The sequence below is a fragment of the Homo sapiens genome, chromosome X, assembly GCF_000001405.40.
Source record: "Homo sapiens chromosome X, GRCh38.p14 Primary Assembly".
NCBI classification, from domain to species: Eukaryota; Metazoa; Chordata; class Mammalia; order Primates; family Hominidae; genus Homo; species Homo sapiens.
Genome location: NC_000023.11, coordinates 19,770,703 through 19,796,665, shown reverse-complemented (window position 1 = coordinate 19,796,665; position 25,963 = coordinate 19,770,703). Strand labels below are relative to the sequence as shown.

The 25,963-nt window shown below is 42.8% G+C and overlaps 1 protein-coding gene across 21 annotated transcripts in view, besides 2 other annotated features; it reads left to right on the top strand.

Moving 5' to 3' along the window:
- Window positions 1–25,963, top strand: part of SH3KBP1 (SH3 domain containing kinase binding protein 1) — a 353,624-nt gene that overhangs the window by 90,935 nt on the left and 236,726 nt on the right. The gene's annotated exons all lie outside the window — the stretch shown is intronic.
- Window positions 19,654–19,703: a silencer, noted in NCBI's record as "silent region_20688". NCBI's record gives its function as "represses an Ori minimal core promoter by ATAC-STARR-seq in GM12878 lymphoblastoid cells {active_cell/tissue: GM12878}" and the evidence as "EXISTENCE:reporter gene assay evidence [ECO:0000049][PMID:35858748]".
- Window positions 22,775–22,824: a silencer, noted in NCBI's record as "silent region_20687". NCBI's record gives its function as "represses an Ori minimal core promoter by ATAC-STARR-seq in GM12878 lymphoblastoid cells {active_cell/tissue: GM12878}" and the evidence as "EXISTENCE:reporter gene assay evidence [ECO:0000049][PMID:35858748]".

Below are 25,963 nucleotides of genomic sequence, written 5' to 3'. Positions count from 1 at the left end.
GAATAATGTGAAAAACCCCATTATCTTGGAAAGTGGTTTTCCCTCTGGTTGGAATACAAAGCCAGATGACTTACCACCAAATGTGCTGGGATAATAGCTTTCCCCTGCCCTGATGCTCTCAGATGTTAGTGAGGTCTCGACCTTGGCACTTCCTTTCTTTGTATATTTCCTTGAAACTTCCTTCCTACAGGTAAAGAAGCTAGCCCAAGGCACCACCTAAATGGCAGTGGGGGTAGGGACCATGTCTAAGTAGCACTCTGTGGCAGACTGTTTGCCAGCTCACTGACACCTTACACCAATTCCAGGGAGTTGACAGTTTTTACCACCATTTTAGAGATAGCAAAATGGAGGCTCACTGAGGTTAGGTGACTTGTTCCTAAGCACATAGGTTGCAACCAGCCAAGATCAGAAACCAGGCTTGTCTGACTCCCAAATTCATCTTTTATTTGTTGATGTACTCAGTGTCTCCCAGGGCTATATCAACCAAGTTCTGCAGTTAAAAAAACATCTGGCAACCTGGTCTACGGTACACATCCCATGTAACTGAGGTAAGTTTCCTGAAACAGTAGCTGCCTTCACTGTGTGTGATGCCCTCTTGTATTCTCCATTCCATTCAACAGATGCTTGTCAGGACCTTCTAAACTGATTACGTGGCCCACCGATTGGTGGCAGTCCATTTGAAAACAGTTTGAGGGACATTAGTGTAGGTGAGGTGTAAACTATGCTTAGTTTATATAGAGGTTTACATGGTGTAAGCTATTAAAAAGAATTTTTATGGCAATATAATAGACATACATAAAATGCGCATGAGGGTACGGCTGTTGAATTTTTACAAACTAAACACATCTGCATAATTAGCACGAGATCAAAACACACACCATTGATTTAAGCTTCTTTGAATCAAGACAGAGGCATGAAGTACAACAGAAACTGATAGCCCCTCAGTTTGTTGTGAATTACGCACAAACAGCTTACTCCATAGGCAGACTCTTTTTGGAGGTCCGTAGCTTGCCTTTCCAGTGATGGGGTCTGGCTGGTATTTGTTTGAGATCTAAGAATTGCCGAAGGAGTGGAATATGGCCTCTGTAATGGCCTCAGAAATTAGCACAAAAGGAGGGCTGACTGAGAATGTGCCTCGTAAAATGTGAACATGGAGGAGGAGGAGGAGGAAAGGGCAAGGCCCCGTAGTTGAGTACAGAAACATTAGGGTGTGAGAATTTGTGGTCATAGTAATTGAGACCAATTTTACTGAAATGGAGGGCGGCAAAAGGAGGAAGGAAAAGGAATTTGTGATTACAGCACCAAGCCCCTAGAGGTTAAAGAACGTCTCTGTAAAATAAGGAATATCTACCTCTCATGGTGAGTGTTGACTTTTAGAGAAAATTGTTCTAGTATACTGAACTAAAATGCTTAATTCTTGGCAAAAGATACAGATGCATCTCCATGCAAAAGCAAGCTAAAGCAACTTTGCTTTCATAATGTATGGGTTCTGTAAAGCTGTCTTGGTGGACATGCCATATGTAATTCATCATAATGGGGTGTGCATAGAAATGAAAGGGAGCGAATATCGTAACATGCCTTGAAGCATTGAGTGCTAAGTTACAAAGGGCATTAATTAATACAACTTAATGGGATTCATTTATAGCTCACTTTTAGTCAAACTGAAATAGCTTTCCTGAATCAGGGACTTTGGGATAATAATAAATCCTTTTGTCTTTGTTGATCAGATAAGCTCTTATTCACTGACTTCCTGTTACTTTCTTGGCACCCAGAGTCATGCCTGGGCACTAAGGATTTGCTGAATGAATGGAAGGAGTAAGGACAAAAAAAATCGTAGCTAGCATTTAATGAGTGTGTACTGTGTGCTTTGCCTCTTTTATCTGATTTAGTCATCACTACAAGGCTGTGAGGCAGGCACTGTTATCATTTTCTTCTTTATTTTATTTTATTTTATTTATTTTTTGAGATAGAGTCTTGCTCTGTCGCCCAGGCTGGAGTGCAGTGGCGCTATCTCGGCTCACTGCAAGCTCTGCCTCCCGAGTTCATGCCATTCTCCTGCCTCAGCCTCCCGAGATGCTGGGACTCCAGGCGCCTGCCACCAAGCCCAGCTAATTCTTTGTATTTTTAGTAGAGACGGGGTTTCACCATGTTAGCCAGGATGGTCTCGATCTCCTGACCTCGTGATCCGCCCGCCTCAGCCTCCCAAAGTGCTGGGATTACAGGCGTGAGCCACCATGTCCGGCCTATTTATTTATCTATTTATTGAGACGGGATCTCACTCTCACCCAGGCTGGAGTGCAATGGTGCAATCACAGCTCACTGCAGCCTCGACCTCCTGGGCTCAAGTGAGCCTCCCACCTCTCAGCCTCCTGAGTAGCTGGGACTATAGTTGCACACCACCATGCCTGGCTGATTTTTTTTTTTTTTTTTTTTTTGTAGAGACAGGGTTTCACCATGTTGCCCAGGCTGGTCTTGAACTCCTGGGCTCAGTGATCTGCCTGCCTGGGCCTCCCAAAGTGTTGGGATTATAGGTGTGAGCCACCATGCCCAGCATTATCCCTTCTTTTAGAGCCACCTTATTTCCTCTACTTGCCTGGGGACCGTTCTGGTGTATGCCTGTTGTCCTCGCATTAACATTGACATCACCTGCTTTCATTCTCAGATGTCCTGGTCAGATGATAAACCATTTCACTCTGAAATGTTCTGGTTTGGATAGACAGATGAGGAAACTGAGACACAGAGAAGCCACATCACTTTCCATGGTCACCAAGCTAGTAAGATGTAAAGGTGGGATTCTTTCCTGGGAGTCTGATTCCAGGTCATGTTGTCTGATCACTAAGTTCTGGTGCTTCACAGTTTAAGCCAAGGGAGAGATAATATAGGAAAACCACTCTTTATGTTTTTCAGCTTCAGTATTTAGTAAAAATCACTGCCAAGTTAGCATCTGAAGTAGGTTAATGTGACTCAGGGCAGTGGGAATGTGCTAGGTAAAGACTCATTGAAACCCTAAGTGTGTGTTCATTAGTAAACTTGGCCAACTACTACCCTAGAATGATAATAGCATTCACATGTGCATGGTGCTTTATAGTTTACAAAACCTCTTCTCCCATATTATTGTGTTGAAGCTTCTTGTGCACTCAGAGGTGGGAGGTGGATGGCCAGTGGTGGGATTTCCAGTTTATAGAGGAGGATGGGGTAATCAGCAGGATAGTACAGTTGCCTGCCTGAGGCTTCACGGCTAGAAAAGAGGCAGATCCAGGATTCAACCCAGGTATTCCGCCTCAGCGATCAGTGCATTCCCACTTTAGCACGGGTGCCTCTTAGCCAGATATATATATATATATATATATATTTTTTTTTCCTTGAGACAATGTCTTGCTTGCTCTGTCACCTAGGCCAGAGTGCAGTGGTGTGATCACAACTCACTGTAGCCTCAACCTCCCAGGCTCAAACAATCCTCCCACCTCAGCCTCCCAAATAGCTGGGATTACAGGTGTGCAACCACCATGCCTGACTAATTTTAAAATTTTTTTAAGAGATGGGGTCCCACTATATTGCTCAGGCTGGTCTGGAATTCCTGGGCTAAAGTAATCCTCCCACCTCGGCCTCCCAAAGTGCTGAGATTACAGGTGTGAGCCACCCATGCCTGGCCCAGATGCTCTTATATAGCCATTTGAGGGTGCTGTTTATGAAGGGTTAGGGAGTCACTTGAAGACTCATTTACCCAGAGTTTCTTAGCCTTGGCACTGTTGATATTTTGAGCCAGTTAAGCCTGTTGTGGGGGCTGTCCTGTGTGTTGTAGGATGTTTAGGAGCATCTCTGGGGTCTACTCGCTAGATGCCAATAGCACAATCGCCCGTCCCGCCCCTGCCCCCACCCCCCGCCCCCGCCAGATCCCTCCAAGTCGTGACAACAAAGGAAAGCGTCTCCAGACATTACCAAATGTCCCTTGCTGGGGCACAATTGCCTCTGGTTAGGAACCACTGGCCTAACATAATAGCCACATTTAAAAGAGGGAAAGACGACCTTGAAAATGTTAGACCTGTCTTCTTCCCCTTTCTCTAGTTTCTAAAGCATCAGAAAAACTGTTGAAAGACCTGCAAAGGGGCAAAATAGAGAACAAGCAACATGTTTCATGTTGAATTCTCTTCCGTGGAAGAGCATTGTGTCTGCCAAAGGATAAGATAGCCAACATTTTTTTAAGTTAAAAATCACACAGTTAAAAATGTTTTGATAGAAAAGTTAGAATAGAGATCAGCCAAAATATACATATGCAGAATCTCCTGTAATCCTACTGCCGAGATAACCATGGTTCATATTTTGGTCTATTTCCTTCTAACCTTTTCCAGCATGCGTATACAAGTATATATTAAAAAAATAATTTTCCAAATAGAGCCATACCAAAAGCTGTTATAAACAGCTTTTTAATTTAAATGTGCCACAAATACCTTTCCATATCTATGATACAGAGTTACTAAGGTTTGTAGTATTTTGTTGTATGGCTAGCATATAGTTTATTCACTTAGTCTCCTGTTGTGTACGTTTGGTTTGCTTCTAATTTTGTTTTTGCTGTTAACATGCAAAACCGTGGTGAGTATCCATGTGCATACTTACACCCTTTCCAGCTTATTTTTTTTCCTTCTAGAAGTTACCATCACTGTAATTTTTAGTATCCATTGAGTAAGATATTGAATTCATAGTGTTCTGGATTGTATTTTAATTATGTCACATACCTTTACCCCTCAAAATTACGGAAATGTATTGATTAAAAATGTGTTTATGTGCTAGACTTGCAGAATGGGGTGTGGAAAGTTCTTTGGTTTTCTGATTGAACGATGACTAATAAGAAACCATTTGGGTTTCGTGCCTTGTTCATGAAGCCCAGTCTTAACTGTGTCAGGCTACTTCCTGAGTAGGAATCAGCCCAGTGAAGGTTGCTTAACCGTCCTTTAAGATTCTGTTCACTACTGAAAGAAATTCAAGGCTATATGCTCGTGAATTCTCATTGCTCATGGATTTTTCTTCTATGTGTTTTAAATTATAAACTCACGGAAAAGACATTCAGATGGTAGAGAAGAGCATAAAGTTTCCTACTTTACTCCCCTCCCTCTTGGTTTTTTTTTTTTTTTCATTCTCTAGGATTTTTGTATGCTTGTACAAATATTGAAATACAAAAAAATTTAAAACCCACAAATTGGGCAACAGAATGCAATGTGTGAGCCAAGTAGCTTTTTTCTACTTAATGCATCTTTCTATATCAGCACCTTATTCTGTTTAATTGGTGCCCTATTTGGGGTTGTTTTCAGCTTCTCCTGCAACAAGTCACCTTCTATTATGAGTCTATCCATAGGATACATGCTTAGCAGTGGAGTTGTTGGGTTAAGAGTTTATGTCCTTATGGTTTTGATAGATATTGCTAAATTGCCCTTCTACCAGCAATATATAGCTTGACTTGTTTCTATCAGGCATTTTTTTCATGCCTGGCATAAATTATTGATTAATAAGCTGGGAACACAAAGGTAGAATCTCATCTATAGGAAGGAGCATAGTTGGTTAGGAGACCATGTCTTCCCTAATGACCATTATGAGTATTGGTTTTCAGCCTTGAGCATACTCAGGGGGATGTGTATTTACTGGTTTCCTCCTGGGGTTGGCCTGAAACTGGCTTTTACTTTTTTCAACCACAGAGTTAGAATATGCATATAAAGTTGGGAGACAATACCCAGATAGACAACTTTCTGGGAGTATTCGATGACATGCCTCAATTAGAATTGAGGTGGTTAGAAATGGACCCTTATTACTAAAGAGGTTGTGACATGTAAATATCAGTGGGTCTCTGAAATAGAAGCATAGGTCATTTGGCATTTGGTACACTGTATCAAATGGAACATAATATAATAAATGTAAATGTAACATGTTATAATCATGTTACAGTCATTACTACCCCTCTTATCTCTTCCATGACGTCTTTTCTGATGTTTCTTCATTCCCCATCTTCTCCCACTCCAAGATGACTTTTTTTCACACTGTCCTTAAAAAAAATATAGCTGGTACTGCATTTAGGGCTTTAAATTGTTTTATTATCTTGGATCAGATATGTATCCCTAATCAAATTTTAACCAACACTTGGTTTCTGGTCCTCTTCACTCTGGCTGGGTGTTTGGAACGTAAGTATTTTGATTGGTTGTCCACTCTAGAATTCTTCTGATTTCATGGGGTCCCTGTGCTTGGTAAAGGAGGGCTCTCTCCTGGACATCTCCCCCTTGTAGGCCCCCAGAACGGTGCTCATAAAGGACTCTGTCATCTCAGTCTTCAGAGCACTGCTTTCCTGCCTAGGGAAGGGCACAGCAGGGTGCCATCTTTTATATGATTTGGTATCTGAAGGAGCAGAGGATGGTAGATGTTTGAAGATGATTCTGTGAACCCTGGTGGGTACGGCAGCTGCCAGAGCCCAGGTAACCATGTGAAGGGCTCATATTTTCTGAAAAGTCAGGGCTTTCTGATGGGCACTTTTTAGGGTATTCTTGGCCAGGATTTTTTTTTTTTTTTTTGAGTCGGCCTGAAGTGTCCTGGAAGGTGGAAGCTAAAATCCATGTAGGTTTGGCCTCAGGCTGGGCCTCTTAGAGGAGGTGGGGCAGCTTTCATTTCCTTTCTCCTTGAGCCCCGAGGGCTGACACTGTGCCCTGGGGACTCTCCCTGGCCTTTCCCAGGGGATGACCTCGAGAGAGTCTTAAAAAGGGAACAAACCAAAAAGCTGTTATTTATTTTTCTTATTGTTCAGATAATATATTTTCCTTTATAGCAAATGAAGAGGGCTTTTAGGGGGCAGGCAGTGTGATCTGAGGAAAATGGCCTCTGGGGTCAAATAGTTCTGGGTTGGAATGTGGGCTCTGTGGCTTTTTCCCTAAGGGGCTATTATGGGCCAAATTTTGTCCCTAACCCCCCTGTACCTCATAATGTGACTGTCTTTGGAGATAGGTCCTTTAAAGAGGTGATTAAGTTAAAATGAGGCCATTAGGGTAGGCCTTAATCCAATCTGACTGGTGTCCTCATAAGAAGAGGAGATTAGGGCTCACCGAGAGATACCAGGGACGCAGACGCACAGAGGAAAGACCATGTGAGGACACAGCAAGCAGGTGGCTATCTGCAAGCCAAGGAGAGGGGCCCCAGGAGAAACCCAATGTACCTTGATTCCAGCCTTCAGAGCTGTGAGGTAATGAATTTCTATTATTTAAGCCCCCCTAGTCTGTGGTATTTTGTTATGGCAACCTAGGCTGACTAAGATGGGGGCTTTTAGCAAGTCAGGTCCCCTGATTTTGCTTTCCTAAAGAGGGACCACAACACCCTGAGTTGACAAGAAGAGTGGACACAGTGCCTGGCTTCTAGGAGGTACTTTCAAATGGCAGTGGTGGTGGTCACCATAATCATTTAATAATATGATAATAGAAATCACCACCCCCTTCCCTCACCCAAGTTTTCTGACCCCGTCTGGTTTGAGGTTTTTCTTTTTCTTTCTTTATTTTTATTTTTATATATTTTTTTGAGATGGAGCCTTGCTGTATCACCCAGGCTAGAGTGCAGTGGCGCAATCTCAGCTCACCACAACCTCTGCCTCTCAGGTTCAAGCAATTCTCCTGCCTCAGCCTCCTGAGTAGCTGGGACTACAGGCATGCGCCACCATGCCCGGCTAATTTTTGTACTTTCAGTAGAGACCTGATTTTGCCATGTTGGCCAGGATGGCCTCAAACTCCTGACCTCGTGATCCGCCCGCCTAGGCCTCCCAAAGTGCTGGGATTACAGGCGTGAGCCACCGTGCCTGGCCTCTTTTTATTTTTTTATTTTTTTAACTTTCCTTTTAAGTCCTTTTCAAAGAGGGTTGCAAAGAACTCATGTGATCAGAGATTGGTACTTTATAGGTTGAGTGAAGTATTTTCTTTTGAGTAACCCTTTTCATCCTTTTCATCTGTTAACATATTGGAGGTCCAGGTAAAATTGTATTTAGGACAAGGATTCTGCTGCCAAAATAGATTCAAAGTGACTTTCAGCGTGGTGTGAATATTTACTGTACCTGACACCCATTGTATTAGTTTGCTTGTGCTGCTGTGACAAAGTACCACATGCTGTGAGTGGCTTAACCAGTGGAAATTTATTGTCTGGCAGTTCTGGAGGCTGGAATTCAGAGATCAAGGTGTGGGCAGGGTTGGTTCCTTCTGAGGGTCGTGAGGGAGAGTCTGCTCCTCCCCTTGCTTCTGGTGGTTTGCTGGCGATCTTTGGGTTGTAGACACATCACCCCAGTCTCTGTCTTCATCTTCACATGGCATTCTCCCTGTGTGCATATCTCTGTGTCCAAAGTTCTTCATTTTTGTGTTTTTTTTTTTTGTTTTTTTTTTTTTTTTGGAGATAGAATCTTGCTCTGTTGCTCAGGCTGGAGTGCACTGGCACGATTATGGCTCACTGCAGCCTCCATCTTCTGGGCTCAAGTGATCCTCCCACCTTGGCCTCCCAAAGCGCTGAGATTACAGGCGTGAGCCACAGCTCCCATCCCAAAGTTCTCCTTTTTATAAGGATACCACTCATATTGGATTAGCGCCACTCAAATGACCTAATTTTAACTTGATCATCTGCAAAGACCCTATGTCTAAATAACGTCATATTCATGGATACTGGGGATAAGGACTTCCATATCTTTTGGGGAGATACAATTCAACTCATAACACCAATTATATTGGAACCCTATTTGCCATCTGTGCACCTCTGCCTGCGTCCGGCAGCTTCTCAGGAGAAGTCCCTCTGCCTGGTCTGCCATTCTTGTTTGCCATGCAGATTTCAGCGAAGAAGTCACCTGCTGGAGAGGCCTTCCCTGGCCACCCTCAATATAGAGTGATTGAATGAGTGAAATAGATTGCAGAGTAAAATTAAAATGTGATTGAGAATTATGCTGAGCATAATTTACCCTTAAAAGTGTGAGAGAACTCCTCTCCACCCCACATCAATGTTACTTGTAACTTTTTTGTATATGTTGGCTGTGTCCCCATCACAGATGCTATTTAAATATCATTTTGTGCCTGTGAATTGAGATGTCGGGCACCTTCTGAATGTCATGATGTTTCCTATTCTGTGTGCAGAGCATGCCAAGAGGATTCAATTTGTTGAATTTGGATCTTTTTTTGCAATGAGTCACTATTTGATTATGATTTTACAACAATTCACAGAATCAAACTGGCTAGACCCCTTCTCTGAAGGACATCTTGGGTCCAGAAAACCTGTGAATCATGAATAAGGGAAACATTTACTAATGCTAGTTAATTATCAGTGTTTGTTAAATATGTTCTCCTTGCTGAAACTGCTAGGGGCTGTGCAGAATACCGAAATAGAATAGGCAATAGCTGTGGCCTCCAGGAACACACAATTCACATCAAACAGCCAAAAAATAGATAATACATGCAAAGTGGTGTGAGAAGGTGTAGTACAGAAATTAAGAAGAAGTGCTTGTTGTGGACCAGAAAGATCAAGGCAGGCTTTGCTGAGGAACTTAGTTAGGCTTGGGCTGTGCCTTAAAGAGTTAGAGATCCCAGGAGAGGAGGGAGAATACCAGCTCAAGACAATATTAACATAATATCATTAAGCTGTATAATAGTCACAGTATATATTGAACTACCAGGTTTTAATAAAAATTTTCTTCACAAGATAGATATGAAATGATTTGTAACAGAAAAATATTGTATACATCCTAAATGTCCATCAACTTGGGATATATAAGTTATAGTACATCCATATAGTAGAATACTCTACAGTCAGAAAAAAGAATGAGGATGCTTTTTACCGCTGTGGACCTTCCAAATATATTATTGTTCAGTGAGAAAAGCAAGGTGCAGGACAGTGGGTATGATATGCTAATGTATGATATTTTCTTAAAGAAACTAGAAGTTGCCTAAGAAACTAATAACCTATGTGTGGTAGTGGTAGACTGGGAGAATGGGAGCTAGATTCTGTGTGGGGATGTTTGTGTGTATGTGTGTGATTTGAATGATGTAAATGTATCCTATTCAAAAAGTTAGGTGTGAAGACAATAGTATTTGGTCACACTGTTGCTACCCTTAAATTGACTTAGTGCTTTGCCTTGCTGGGACATAATAAACGAAGATAATTAGTGACACCAGATATCTTAGAGATAAACTTTTGCATTTGCCCAGAGAATGAAATTCCCTTGACCAGCTTTCACTTTTGTTGGCCGCCACAAGAAAGGTTTGAAGCATAGCACTCAATAGAGGGGCTGGTCTAATGAACCCCTTTTTACCCATCGTCTAGCTTCAGCGTTATCATCTGCTGGCCAATGCTGCTTTGTTTGTTCTCTCTCCTCCTCATTCTTCCCTTCTTCCCTGGCCTTGATTATTTTGAAGGCAATGCCATTCTGATGGAATAATTTAGAATTATTACTCTGACCTCCTGAGTCCCACCATGGCCCCAGACATGCAGAGTACATTAGATGCTTAGGTGGGAAAAGCTGTCTTTAATGGAATTTGGCTCATCACATTAAACTCATTTGATTTTACTTAAAAAAATGTAAAAAATTATTGTGCAATACAGGTAACATAAAATGTACCATCTTAGTCATTTGAAGTGTATGGTTCAAATAGCACTAAGTACATGCACATTGTTGTGCCACTAATCTTCAGAACTTTTTTATCTTGCAAAACTGAAACTCTGCACCCATGACACACCAGCTCCCCATTTCCCCTTCCCCCCAGCCCCTGGCAACCACCATTCTGTGTTCTGTGTCTGAATTTGACTCCTCCAAGTAGTTCATGTAAGTGGAATCATATATGATTTGTCTTTTTGTGACTGGCTTATTCTACTTAGCATAATGTCCTCAAGGTTCATCCGTGTGGTAGCATGTGACAGGATTTCCTTCCTTTGTAAGGCTGAATCATATCCTCTTGTATGGATATACCACATTTTGTTTTTCCATTCAGTCATTGATAGATACTTGGGCTAACTTTACTTTTTGCCCCCTCTTAGAATATAAGGTTTTATGGCTCATAATAATTTCATGCTGTAGCACATCAGAATGCCTCAGCACACTATTACCCTCCAGTTAAGAGAATAATTCTGAGCAGTTTGAGAATATATGTATTTTTGAGACAGGGTCTCACTCTGTAGCCCAGGTTGGAGTGCAGTGGCGCAATCTTGGCTCACTGCAATCTCCGCCTCTCTGGCTCAAGTGATGCTCCCACCTCAGCCTCCCAAGTAGCTGGGACCACAGGTACGTACCACCACGCCTAGCTAATTTTTTTTTTTTTTTGTATTTTTTGTAGAGACCGGGTTTCACCATGTTGCCTAGGTTGGTCTCCAACTCCTGGGCTCAAGCAGTCCGCTCACCTCATCCTCCAAAAGTGCTTGAGAATTCTTATACCAAATACTTTGACTTGAAAAACCAGCAAATTTTCCTTTCTGCTTTTGTGACCAAGGGCAGCATTTTCTCTCAAAGCTCTTACATTGAATTTTGTCTCTCACCAGACTAGATTATGAATTTAGAGAGACTAGGGCAGGGGGTGGGGTGATATCTTCATTTGCCCAGTACCTGGCACTGTGCTTGGCACTGGGTGGATACTGTGTATGTATTTGTTGGAGGAGGAGTGTTACTTTGGGCAAGGCATGTACCTATACCTTTATAATTAGGAAGTTGAACCAGATGAATTCTAAGACCCCTTTTGGTTCTAACATTGTTTGGGTCCATCATTAAACCTGAAAATCCCAGGCTGGGCGCGGTGGCTCACACCTGTAATCCCAGCACTTTGGGAGGCCGAGGTGAGCAGATCGCTTGAGGTCAGGAGTTTGAGACCAGCCTGGCCCACGTGGTGAAACCCCATCCATCTCTACTAAAAATATAAAAATTAGTCAGGTGTGGTATGCCTGTAATCCCAGCTACTTGGGAGGCTGAGGCAGGAGAATCACTTGAACCCAGGAGGTAGAGGTTGCAGTGAGCTGAGATCGCGCCACTGCACTGCAGCCTGGGCGACAGAGTGAGACTCTGTCTAAAAAAGTAAAATAAAATAAAATAAAAAATAAATCTGATGATGAAAATTTCAGACTCTCTGGAATACTGGAGATTTGGGGGAGGTAGTGAAATTTTTGGATAGACATATTTTCACTGCCCCTCAAATGATACCCAGAGGTGGTCACCTACAAGTAAACCCATGTCAGGATATAGTGTTTCTTAAAATAACATTCTGGATTTGGGACTTCCTCTTTGTGCAGTGGGTGCCATTCTTTGAATAATAAAAAAGCTACCATCTAAAAAGTGATTTTAAGTTTAGCTTAATCGTGTACCACATTTCCTAGATATACACGGATAGAAAACAAACCTCCTCTTGACATAATCATCTTTATAATGAATCTCATCGGAAGTCTTAATGGTAATCTTACCATGAGAAGAAGTCAAAGCAATGAGCAACTGAGGAAAATGAAAATTCTGGAATTAGAGAAAAAAATGCTGATAAGAAAGGACAGATGTGATCTGAGTACTGAATCTTGTTGATTTTCTGAACTTTATGCTCATTTGTACATTTTTATTTTAAGCCTGGTTTCCAAAAGTCTCTTGTTAGCAACCAGATGGTCGTCAAATAATTGATACGGGTTCATTTTAAGCCCATTTGAGGAACATAATGGCCTGAATTTTCCAGTAGCAGGGTTTAGTAATTCTGCTGGTCTTTGAATGCCAACAGGGTTTTTTGGAAATTGAGTTCCCTAATGTCTTGGAAGTAACTCTTGGAAAATAGGAACCAGTGAATTGATTGCATGATGTACTTGGAATAAAAAGTTAAGGATATGGTTTATTTTGGCTAAAACGTCCACCCTTAGAAGTGGTTAAATTTGTAAAATTAGGTGAGGATTTTTGTGTGTGTGTTTAAGTTTTTTTTTATTTGTTTTCTGAGGCTTGAGTTAATGAATATGAATAGACATTTCGAATACACTAATCTGATATTTCCCATTTTCAGAGATCCGTTCAAACTCTAGGGTCTGTGCACGTTTTTACTTACATCTGGGAGCTAAAAAGTCTGAGCTCAGAAACAGAGTAGAATTATGGTTATAAGAGGTTGGGAAGGGTACAGAGAGAGGAGGGTAGGGAGAGGTTGATTAAGGGATACAGAATTACAGCTAGATGGGAGGAATAAGTTCTAGTATTCTGTGGCATCATAGGCTGACTATAAACAACAGTTTATTGTATATTTTCAAACAGCTAGAAGAGAGGATTTCAAATGTTTCAAGCACGAACAAATGCTCAGTGTTTGAGGTGATGGATATGCTAATTCTGATTTGATCATTATACATTGTATATATGTATTGAAATAGCACATGTACCCCATAAATATGTACAATTATTATGTGTCAATTAAACAAAACACTGGGGTTTGCTATTCTAAAGTCTTACTAAATGCTTTTCAAAGAAAGAAAAACTCCTTAAAGTGTGGTTTGCAACGAGAAAAAGGGTTGTGAGCTGCCTCCAGAGTCAGTGAGACTCAATGGTCATTTTGTTATTGTTTTTGAGACAGGGTCTCGCTCTGTCACCTAGGCTGGAGAGTGCAGTGGCATGATCACAGGTCACTGCAACCTCGACCTCTTGGGCTCAAGTGATTCTCCCACCCCAACCACCTGAGTAGCTGCACAGTGCCTGTGCACGCGCCACCACGCTGGCTGATTTTTGTTGTTGTTTTTTTTCTCTTGGTAGACAGGGTTTCGCCATGTTGCCCAGGCTGGTCTTGCACTCTGGGCTCAAGAGATCCTCCCACCTTGTCCTCTCGAAGTGCTGGGATTACAGGCATGAGCCACCGCACCTGACCTGTTATTTGAACTGGAGAAAGGCATCAGCAACTGTTTTGGGGGTGCTAGTGAGCCGCAGGTTGTATTGCTGGAAACAGTGAAAGAGAGAGCTGAGGTCTGTCTGAAAAGCCTCATGAACTGTCAGAGCGGTGACAGAGCAGCTGTGCTATGGAGAGGTACTCCTTTCAAGTGCTCTTTTAGTTGGTATTCTCAGAATGTCACTAGGTGTTTCCAGCAGAATCCCATCTTGCGAAACGTGTCTGTCCTGGGCTCTCTGTTTTGGTGTGTGCGTACAAAGCCTTCCTTTCCTCTCCTCTGCTCACGCCACCATGGCTAGCCAGTCTCTGGCTGTCTTGGGATCTGAGTGGAGCTCCTGGTGGAACCAGACCCAGAGGCCTCATTGGTGGACAGGTTAGTTTTCCTTGGCTACCACAACAAATGACCACAAACTGGGTGGCTTAAAACAACAGAAATTTATTCTCTCTGATTTCTGGAAGCCAGAAGTCCAGAATCAATGTGCCCTCCAACGGTGTTCTAGGGGAGAAGCCATTTCTTGCCTCTCCCAGCTTCTGGTGGCTCCTGGCTTTCCTTTGCTTCCAGCCGCATCACTCCTCTCTCTGCCTTCCTCTTCACATTGCCTTCTCCTCTGTCCATCTTCTCCTCTGTGTGTCTCATATGAGGACAACACTTGTCATTGGATTTAGGGACCCCCAGGATAATCCAGAATGATCTCTTCATCTCAGGATCCTTAACTACATCAGCAAGGACCCTTTCCCCAAATAAGATCCTGATTCTGGGAATTAGAATGTTGACATATCTTTTTAGGGGGTTGCCATTCAATTTACCACAGTAGGAGTAGCAATTCAGGATGGGGCCTTGAAAAGGAAGCAGAAGAAACAGAAGCCTTCATAATGTGATAGTTTAAAAAATCTGCCTGGTCATTTAAAAAAATCCTTCAGAAAGTAACTTTATTGAGGCACATTTTAAATATCATGTAATTCACCCATTTCAAGAATATAGCTCAATGGTTTTTAGTAAACATACCCAGTTATGCAACCATCATCATAAAATGCTTTAGAACATTTTCATCACCCCAATAACATCCACATCCTTCATGCCCATTTATTGTTAATTCCCATTCCCACTCCCAGCTTCACTGCCTGCTGTCTGCTGTCTCTCTAGATCTGCCTTTTCTGGATGTTTCATATGAGTTGTTTTTTTTTTTTTGTGACCGAGTCCCACTCTGTCACCCAGACTAGAGTACAGTGGTACAATCATGGCTCACTGCAGTCTCGACCTCCTGGGCTCAAGTGATCCTCCCACCTCAGCCTTCTGAGCAGCTGGGACCACAGGTGCATGCCACTATGCTTGGCTAATTTGTTGTTGTTGTTGTTTAGACGGGTTTCACTATGTTGCCTAGGCTGGTCTAGAACTCTTGTACTTAAGCGATCCTCCCACCTTGGCCTCCCAAAGTGCTGAGATTGCAGACATGAGCCACCATGCTTGGCCTAAAGTTTTATTTAAAACTTAAGAAAACATTTCTGATTGTAAAATATGGAGAAGGACAATCCCATCACCTGGAGCCTGTTAGAAATGCAGAATCTGCAGTTTAGCAAGATCCCCAAGGCATTCTCTATATTAGACTTAGACATACTGGTACATTGTATCTGCTATATTGATCCCTTGTCCACTTAATATATTATGAGCACTTCCCCAAAAGTATTATATCTCTTCTGAGAACATTTTAAATCTCATTGTAAGAATATACCACAATCTATTTAACTAGCCACTTCATGGCAGACATTGTTTCCCATCTTTTTTTGCCCTTGAAAATAAAGCTGCAATAATTATCTTTGTATAGAAATATTTGTGTATAGTTTTATATCTACTGTATCAGTAATTCCATTTCTAGGAATTGATTATAAGACAATAATTATAGACAGACTGCTAAAATTTAGAAAGTGCATATGTAAATACTGATCAGTGGAGTCAGTCATTTAAAGTGCTGTTTTCCAGCATGGTACTGGTACCAAAACAGAGATATAGATCAATGGAACAGAACAGAGCCCTCAGAAATAACGCCGCATGTCTACAACTATCTGATCTTTGACAAACCTGAGAAAAACAAGCAATGGGGAAAGGATTCCCTATTTAATAAATGGTGCTGGGAAAACTGGCTAGCCATATGTGGAAAGCTGAAACCGGATCCCTTCCTTACACCTTATACAAAAATCAATTCAAGATGGATTAAAGACTTAAAACGTTAGACCTAAAACCATAAAAACCCTAGAAGAAAACCTAGGCAATACCATTCAGGACATAGGCATGGGCAAGGACTTCATGTCTAAAACACCAAAAGCAATGGCAACAAAAGCCAAAATTGACAAATGGGATCTAATTAAACTAAAGAGCTTCTGCACAGCAAAAGAAACTACCATCAGAGTGAACAGGCAACCTACAAAATGGGAGAAAATTTTCGCAACCTACTCATCTGACAAAGGGCTAATATCCAGAATCTACAATGAACTCAAACAAATTTACAAGAAAAAAACAAACAACCCCATCAAAAAGTGGGCGAAGGACATGAACAGACACTTCTCAAAAGAAGACATTTATGCAGCCAAAAGACACATGAAAAAATGCTCATCATTACTGGCCATCAGAGAAATGCAAATCAAAACCACAATGAGATACCATCTCACACCAGTTAGAATGGCAATCATTAAAAAGTCAGGAAACAACAGGTGCTGGAGAAGATGTGGAGAAATAGGAACACTTTTACACTGTTGGTGGGACTGTAAACTAGTTCAACTATTGTGGAAGTCAGTGTGGCGATTCCTCAGGGATCTAGAACTGGAAATACCATCCCATTACTGGGTATATACCCAGCCATCCCATTACTGGGTATATACCCAAAGGACTATAAATCATGCTGCTATAAAGACACATGCACACGTATGTTTATTGCGGCATTATTCACAATAGCAAAGACTTGGAACCAACCCAAATGTCCAACAATGATAGACTGGATTAAGAAAATGTGGCACATATACACCATGGAATACTATGCAGCCATAAAAAATGATGAGTTCATGTCCTTTGTAGGGACATGGATGAAATTGGAAATCATCATTCTCAGTCAACTATTGTAAGAACAAAAAACCAAACACTGCATATTCTCACTCATAGGTGGGAATTGAACAATGAGATCACATGGACACAGGAAGGGGAATATCACACTCTGGGGCCTGTTGTGGGGTGGGGGGAGGGGGGAGGGATAGCATTGGGAGATATACCTAATGCTAGATGACGAGTTAGTGGGTGCAGCGCACCAGCATGGCACATGTATACATATGTAACTAGCCTGCACAATGTGCACATGTACCCTAAAACTTAAAGTATAATAAAAAAAAAATAAAGTGCTGTTTTCCTGGAAACTAGACCTAAAGCCAAGCAGATAATAGGAAATGTGAACCCCCAATACATGATGTTAGCACATCTTGCTAACTCTCACCTCCTTCTCCTCCTCCTTTTTTTTTTTTTTTTGAGACAGGGTCTTGCTGTCTCACCCAGGCTGGAGTGCAGAGGTATAATCATGGCTCACTGCAGCCTTGACCTCCTGGGGTCAAGCAATCCTCCCACCTCAGCTTCCCAAGTAGCTGGGACTACAGGTGCACACTATCACACCTGGCTACCTTAATTTCTTTTCTTTATAGAGACAGGGTTTTGTCATATTGTCCAGTCTGGTCTCAAACTCCTGGGCTCAAGTGATCTGCCCACCTCGCCCTCCCAAAAGGTTGGGATTACAGGTGTGAGCCACTGCACCCAGCCACCTCCATCTGCTTGAGCATTGGTTTCATTGTTGAACAAAATGAATGAGCAAATAATGAATGAATGAGTGAATGACAATGGCATCAAAAAGTGAAGTGTAGGTTGTTACTGAGCAGCGGTGAAATAGAAAGGAACAAAATGCTGGACCCACATGTAATCACTTTCTTATCTGTTGTAATTTTATCCTTACTCAATTTCCAACCTCCACTAGTCGGTTCTGCCCTTGTAAAGCAGCCCAATGTGTCACTCCTGGAAGCCCCTGCTGCTTCAACTATCTGTAGCACACTACTCCTCATAGGTGGAAAGTCAGTCATGGGAGTGACGATACCTTCCTCAGATCACACCTACTGGCCTTTCGATTCCGTTTTCCCACTTTTCACAAGGATTGTAGTCTCTTGAATATTTACTGGCCTTCCTAGTTCTCAGATCCTTGGGAAGTATGTGAAGAGGTCGGGACTTGTGTATTCACTTCGTATCTGCCCGATTGCCAGGCTCCTTAGGTCAAGGAGGAATTGAGTGAGTTCCAAGGAGAGGGTAAGTCTGAATTTTCCCCTTTTTTTCTTTTCTTTTTTTTTTTTTTTTTGAGATGGAGTCTTGCTCTGTCTCCCAGGCTAGAGTGCAGTTGCACAATTTCGGCTCACTGTAACCTCAGCCTCCTGGGTTCAAGCAATTCTCCTGCCTCAGCCTCCCAAGTAGCTGGGATTACAGGCGCCCGCCATCGTGTCCAGCTAATTTTTGTATTTTTAGTAGAGACAGGGTTTCACCATCTTGGCCAGGCTGGTCTCGAACTCCTGACCTCGTGATCCACCCGCCTTGGCCTCCCAAAGTGCTGGGATTACAGGTGTGAGCCACCGCACCCGGCCGAATTTTCCCCTTTCATTTTCTGCACTGCTGTGTTCTCTGAGCTTTCCACTGCTATAGTGTTTCCTGATGAGAAGGAAGTGTTTCCTCCAGCTTTTTTTTCTTCCTGGAGGAGTAGGATATGAAGGAATCCCTGCCCCCACACGGGGTGGGATCCAGCCAGCTGCTCCAGAGGATCTCGGCCCCTCCTGTAGCCTCAACCTTTTTTGTTTCTCTGGGTGGTGACTCTCACACCAGAGCATACGTTAGAACCTCCTGGAGGGCTTGCTCAAACACCGACTGCTGGACCCCACCCCATGCCTTCTAGTTCAATAGTCTGGGCTGGGGCCAGAGAGTCTGCATTTCTAACAGGTTCTCTGGTGATGCTGCTGGTGTGGAACTCCACTTTGAGAACTACTGCTCTGGCCCACCCCTCATTGCCCCTCTTCCCCTGCAATTGCTTCCAAGTAGGCAGAATAAGGCGCTGGAGGACTGGTGTGTTTGAGACCCTTGCATCTAGGGAGCCCGTCCAGACTTCTAGGGGTAGCGCCTAGCAGTGGTGTGTGCCTGTTCCACCAATGAATGCAGCTTTAGACAGGCCCTTCAGAGTATAAGAAGCAGTGGCTCATTCAAATTCCTTCAAGTAGTGGGGGTGAGAACTAGGGGGTTAAAAACAGAGCCCCAGGTCCTTAAGGCTTCACAGGAACTCATCCAGAAAGCCAGCAGGTATGGGCAGGCTGGGGCCTCAGCCTGCCACATGCCTTTGTGTTTCAGCTGGCCCAAGGCTGTACTGAACATTATAACCTTTCAGCCCTGGCCCTTTCTGTTGACTTCCTCTCCTCTCCTCTTGGTGGGATTTTCCCCTGTATTTAGGGCAGGGCAGTTTCTTCTGGAAGGATCCCTTTGGCTCCAGGCTCTGTGTCTAACCCTCCCACTTGACCCTGTAGCACACAGCCCTGGCCAGTTGCTGGTGGAAGCTGCAGTCCTTAGTGAAATGGGGAGTGGACTGTGGTTCCTCAAATTGCATTGTCATTTGGAGGCTCAAGGGCATACCTTTTTTATCCTCAAAGGCTTAAAGACAACTGATGGCAGCTGGAGAGGGTTAAGGGAGATGGAGGAAATCTTCATTCAAGTTTGTCTTGCTCAGTGATCTTTTAATGTGTCTTTCCAGTCTTGGGGTGGTTGTGTGGTCTTTCAGTACAGATTCAGGTGGCAGGCGGTTGGTGGTTTGGTTTAAATCAGAGGTATGTTAAAATATTCAGGATGGTGAGGGTGTCTGTGAAAACTAAGAGAGGAAGTGGCTTAAAGAGCTAGGCTGTCAGCTGGGTGCAGTGGCTCACACCTGTCATCCTGGTGCTTTGGGAGGCTGAGGCAGGAGGATCACTTGAGGCCAGGAGTTTGAGACCATCCTGGGAAACGTAGCAAGACCTTGTCTCTACAAAAAATTAAAAAGAAAAAATTAGCTGGACATGGTGGTGTGCGCTTGTGGTCCCAGTTACTCAGTAGGCTGAGGTGGGAGGATCACTTGAGCCCAGGAGTTTGAGATTACAATGAGTTATGATCATGCCACTGAATTCCAGCTTTGGTGACAGAGTGAGACCCTGTCTCTCTCTAAAAAAAAAAAAAAAAAAAAAAAAAAAACCAGGTTGTCAAGCTAGATTTAGAATTCTTTTTTTAAAAAAAATTCTTTTATTTTTTCCATGGGATTCTGCTTGATATAGACTTAATTCTGTTGTCTGTTGGCCCAGGGACATCACTGCCCAGTGGATACCTCATCCACTCCCACTCTTTTTGAGGGTTTTCTCCAGGGAGTTGAATCTGTGAGGCAGTCTTTCCCTCCTGCTTTCATTTCTCCCCCAGCATCTTCTCTTAGGCCCTGCTAGGCCACTTGAGCAAGAATCTCAGGCCATAAAACATTTCCACATCAGATTTCCTCCAACAGCACAGGGCGCTTATGGCTCACATGTGGAAGCGTGGACATTGACATGTTATTTTGAGACTTCTGACTTTAGAGCATTTTGAGGAAAGTATCTTCTGAGGTCTTTCTTTCCTGTAAGCTAGCTGTAGTAGCCAATTCCTTTTGGGGGATGGGGGAATGAATTCTTGGCACACTCTGTTGTCCTTTGGGCTAGTCACATTTGTGCTAAATATCAGGCGAGCTCCCTGCGGACACCATGGGATGAGGACAACATCTTATTCTTGGCAATTTGCAAGGGACAAATTAGGCTGTGGTACTTGCAAGTAGAATTATTAAATATCAATGGGGGATAATAAATGTGAAGTAGCTTGCAAATCTTCTGATATTATGGCTGTTTCAGTGAAAACACAGCTGCTAAGATACTTTCCTAGCTGTAATCGAGAAGGTAATTTTCCTGAAAGGCCATTTAAAGCAGATCTTTAGTGCCTTTGGCTCATTAAGAAGCATGAATAGGGGTAAGTCTCTGAAAAAGATGAATTAGACACAGAGCAGAGGAGCGGTGGTGTCCATGATGCAGGATGATGGTGTCCAGGGCCTGCGTACTCCAAATAGACCAAGGACTAATTAGTTGTGTGGTTTATTAATGGACTGGAGTCAATCCTGGACTAATACAACTAATTCTTCCATTTAGAGTTAATGTTGGCACTCAATTTTCCCTGGTAATGAGTGAGTTAGAGTAAGCAGGCACGTGAGTGTAAGATACAGTGCTAATATTTTGTGAGAAACATTGAACGAGGCTTGATGTTTAAATCAATAGTTGAAAATGTGGGGGAAGACTTTCCAGAAAAGGCTTACAGGCTAAATAAGAGCAGTTAATTGAAAGCAAACCAAGCCCACCCAATATTTAGATTTGTTTAGAAACCAAGTGAACATTTGAGATGAGAAACATTTCTCTAGTTCTGTGATGTCGTCGGCTTTCCTGGTGTGTTTGGAGCTTTTGACATTGGTGTGGTACTTTACCTCAGTGAGGCTGATGGAACAGAGTGGATGTTACAGGGCCTCAATTTCAGAATTCTTGTTGTGTACTCGTGAAGACCTGTGGAGAGATTTTGCCTCAAGTCAGTTTGGATGGTTTCTGCCCTCCAGTCTGATAAAGTCCCCTGATGTCAAACCACAGGTGGAATTTCCAGAGACTGTGATCTGTGGACTGGTGACAAATCCTTTGTGAAAAGTCTGTGTGACACTACTAAACAGAGAGGGCTTGGGGGAGGAGAATGAGGGGACCAATGCGCTCCCCTCAGAAGCCTTGATGCTCTCATAGAAGGTCTGGCCAGGTGTGGGGGTCTAGCTTTGTAAAGTAGGAAGACCCCTTTGATGATTACTTTTTTTGTCTAGTTAAACCTTTTTGGATTTCTCTGTAATTTAAAGAATATAATTTTTAAAATGTAAAGCTGAGGATTCATTTTTCTATGTGTTAATAAAGTTAATAAACCCCCCATATTTATTGGGGAAGGCAGTATAAACTAGAATTTCCTTAGGTTTCTTCTTTCTTTCTTTCTTTCTTTCTTTCTTTCTTTCTTTCTTTCTTTCTTTCTTTCTTTTTTTTTGAGACAGGGGAGTGCAGTGGCGTGAACTCGGCTCACTGTAAGCTCCGCCTCCTGGGTTCACGCCATTCTCCTGCCTCAGCCTCCTGAGTAGCTGGGACTCCTGGCGCCTGCCACCACGCCTGGCTAATTTTTTGTATTTTTAGTAGAGACGGGGTTTCACCGTGTTAGCCAGGATGGTCTCGATCTCCTGACCTCGTGATCCGCCCGCCTCAGCCTCCCAAAGTGCTGGGATTAAAGGTGTGAGCCACCGCGCCCGGCGGCTTAGGTTTCTTAAAAGTTAACCAAGTGAGCATCACTGAAGATTAACCAAAGGATCTATGCAAAGATGTATTTTTATTTTGCTCAAACAGTTGTTTATAAAAGGTAAGATGAAAACCAAAGCACACATTACAGAGTAGGAAATCAAGTACTTTTATTTCATACCAGAAATAGGAGGAAAAGGATAAAATCAGGGTGAAGCCCTAAAAAAAAGACAGTCAAAAAAGACCCTATAGGAGGGCTGGGAGAGTTTTTGAGCCATGAGGACCATTTGACCTTGGTGACAGGGCAGCTACTGAGTTCCCAGAATTCTGCCTTTTCAAGCCATGTAACATTTGCAAATGCTGACAAACAGCTGCTAATTCCGTTTTCTATGAAAGGGTGACAGGGTGTTCTCAGGACATGAGCTTCTTCTCCCCAGAGCCACATGCCTTTCACACAGTGACAGTGGCACCATCAGTGAGGACCTGGGAAGGAGACACCAGTCCAGAAAAATGATGATTCTTTTTTTTTTTTTTTTTTTTTTTTTTTTTTCGAGCCGGAGTCTCGCTCTGTCGCCCAGGCTGGGGTGCAGTGGTGAGATCTTGGCTCACTGCAAGCTCCGCCTCCCGGGTTCACGCCATTCTCCTGCCTCAGCCTCCCAAGTAGCTGGGACTACAGGCGCCCACCATCACGCCTGGCTAATTTTTTGTATTTTTAGTAGAGATGGGGTTTCACTGTGTTAGCCAGGATGATCTCAGTCTCCTGACCTTGTGATCCGCCTGTCTCAGCCTCCCAAAGTGTTGGGATGACAGGCGTGAGCCGCTGCGCCTGGCTGAAAATGATGATTCTTATAGGGGGGTGTGTGTGTGTCTGTGTGTGCATGCACGTGTGTGTGTGTGTGTGTGTGTGTGTGTTTGTGTGTGTGAGAGAGAGAGAGAGACAGAGACTGAATTGCTTGAGAAAATTTGCATTTGAGTTCAGAAGTATGAGCCCACATCTGTGAAAGCAGTAGGTAAGAGACTAGTGAATGCAGATGACTCAGATATGCACACAAACCTGTGGATTTACGGTTTTAGAAAATACAAATATACATTGTGCTAAATTTGAATAATTTGAAGTGAGGTACAATTCCAAAGAGCAAGTTGTGATCTAGGACAAAGGAACCTCTGGGATGAGTGACAGCTCGGAGAGCCAGAGGTGGAAGGAGGAATGAAACACAGCTACTAAGGCTACCTGTGTCATGGGCCACCCTGGAGGCTGGGAGATCTCTTCTTATGGGTTTCTCTCCTATTTGTGTCTGTGTGCCTATCTGTATTCTCTATGTGAGTCTCTATGCTTGTGCATCAGTGTCTCTGTGTATGGGGGTTCTGTTTTTCTGTGTCTATGGGTCTGCCTCTCCCACTCGCTGTAAACGGGCTACCCCAGAAACACTTGCCAGATGGAGCACACTGGCCTGGGTCAATGCCACATATGGTTTCTTACAAGTTGCAGAAAGGTTACACTTAGCAAAAATGGGTGTGCCCCAAAGCCCCACACAGTGAACAGGTTTTCTCATGATCTTGTCACACCTGTCACAAGAGTGGGGGAAGATGAGGAGGAAGAGCCAGCTGGAAGTTTTAGAATCGTGTTTAATTTGTGGTTTACATCCTCCTCCCGACCCTTTTCCCTGACAAACCACCCACACACTTTTCACTTTGCATTACATTTGTCCTCGCCCATCTCCATGGGATATTCCTAGAATTCTGAATGCTTCCTTTGACTTTCTCTACTGCAGAAACTCTTCTCCCTGGGAATGATTTTTACAGCTCCAGTTAATTTTCATGTTCAATGTTGGAACGGAGAGGAAATGGGGGGAGCATGGGTGGTGACTCAGGAAGCTGAGGAAATCGCCCTTATTAGGCCTCGAATTTTCTTCTAAAAAAAAACAAAAAACAAAAACTGGCCCCAGGCTGTTTGGGCCTTATTTTTTTCTGATTGCTAGCTTTCATTTGACCTCCCTCCTTCCATTTCTTTCTCTCTTTGGTTCTGCTTTGAAGGTCACAAAGCTTCCCAAAGCTGTTAAAGGTGGTGCTAACTCCCTTTACTGAAAGATTACTCTTCAGCTGTACCAGTGGATTTCCCCTAACAGCGCTCCCAGAAGATGAACAGACTCTCTTATTGTTGGTAATAACTGAGTTTTTAAAGAGGACACCATCATTGGCAATAATTTAAATGACTTTTCTAAGGTATTTTCCCAACTGTTTTTCTCTTTTTCCTCTTCCACTTGAGCAAATGTCATGAATTTCCTTTTTTTTAAACCACCAACACAAGTATTTTTTTTCTTAAATAATGTGTATACTTAAAATTTGTAAAATGCAGGCAGGAACCAGAAAGATAATTCATTTTCTAGCCAGTCGTTTGTTGTAAGCCTGATATGTGTTTGTTATTTTTCTACAAAAATGGAATCATATGGTAGGTGGTGTTTTATAAGAAGTTTTTTTTTTTGTTTTAATTGTGGTGAAATACACAACAGAAAATTGTAACCAATTTTTTTTTTTTTTTTTTGAGACGGAGTTTCGCTTTTGTCGCCCAGGCAGGAGTGCCATGGCAGAATCTCAGCTCACTGCAACCTTTGCCTCCTGGGTTCAAGCAATTCTCCTGCCTCAGCCTCCTGAGTAGCTGGGATTACTGGTGCGCACCACCATGCCTGGCTAATTTCTGTAGTTTTAGTAGAGATGGGATTTCACCATGTTGGCCAGGCTGATCTTGAACTCCTGGCCTCAGGCGATCTGCCCGCTTTGGCCCCCCAAAGTGCTGGAATTACAGGCATGAGCCACCGTGCCCAGCTGTAACCAATTTTTAAGTGTAATACTAAGTTACTTAATTTTCTACAACATCAGTAATGTTTTTCAAGTTTTTTAAAGTTGCAGAACCCTTTCCTCAAAGACCAGAGAGCTTCAAGCAGAGCTGCACCACCATTGAGGCAGGAGTGGGGAGCCCAGGCTATATCTTGTCAATGTTGCAGTTTACGGTTACCCTCCCCATAGCTTTGAGGCCTCCTAGGGATCCTGGTCACACTCAGTAGCCAACTTTGAAAGCACATAGACCTACCTTATACTGCCCCAATTGTTAATAGCTTAGATTGCTCTAATTTTCTTATAAAGAAAAAATTTTGGACATACTTTAAATCCTCTTTGAAGCACATCTGTGATTACTTCCCTAGATAAGTCCTTATAAGTAGAGTTACTGGGTTTAGAATATGAGCGGTGTTGTTGTTTTTTTCTTTTTGGCCTATAATCCATATTGCCAACTGGTCTTCACCAAAGTGTGCCACATCAGACTCTCACAGTAATGTAGGAGAAGGCTCAACCCCCCATTCCCTGGGTAAAATAAACCTTAAAAATTCAGTATGTTAGCAAAAGAAATTATCAACAGGGTAAACAGACAACCTACAGAATGAGAGAAAATATTTGCAAACTATTCACCTGACAAAGGTCTAATATTCAGCACGTGTAAGGAACTTAAATTTACAAGAAAAGCCATTAAAAAGTGGGCAAAGGACATGAACAGACACTTTTTAAAAGAAGACCTGCATGTGACCAACAAGAATATGAAAAAAAGCTCAATATCGTTGATCATTAGGGAAATGCATATCAAAACCACAGTGAGGTACCATCTCACACCAGTCAGAATGGCTATTATTAAAAAGTAAAAAAAAAAAAAATAA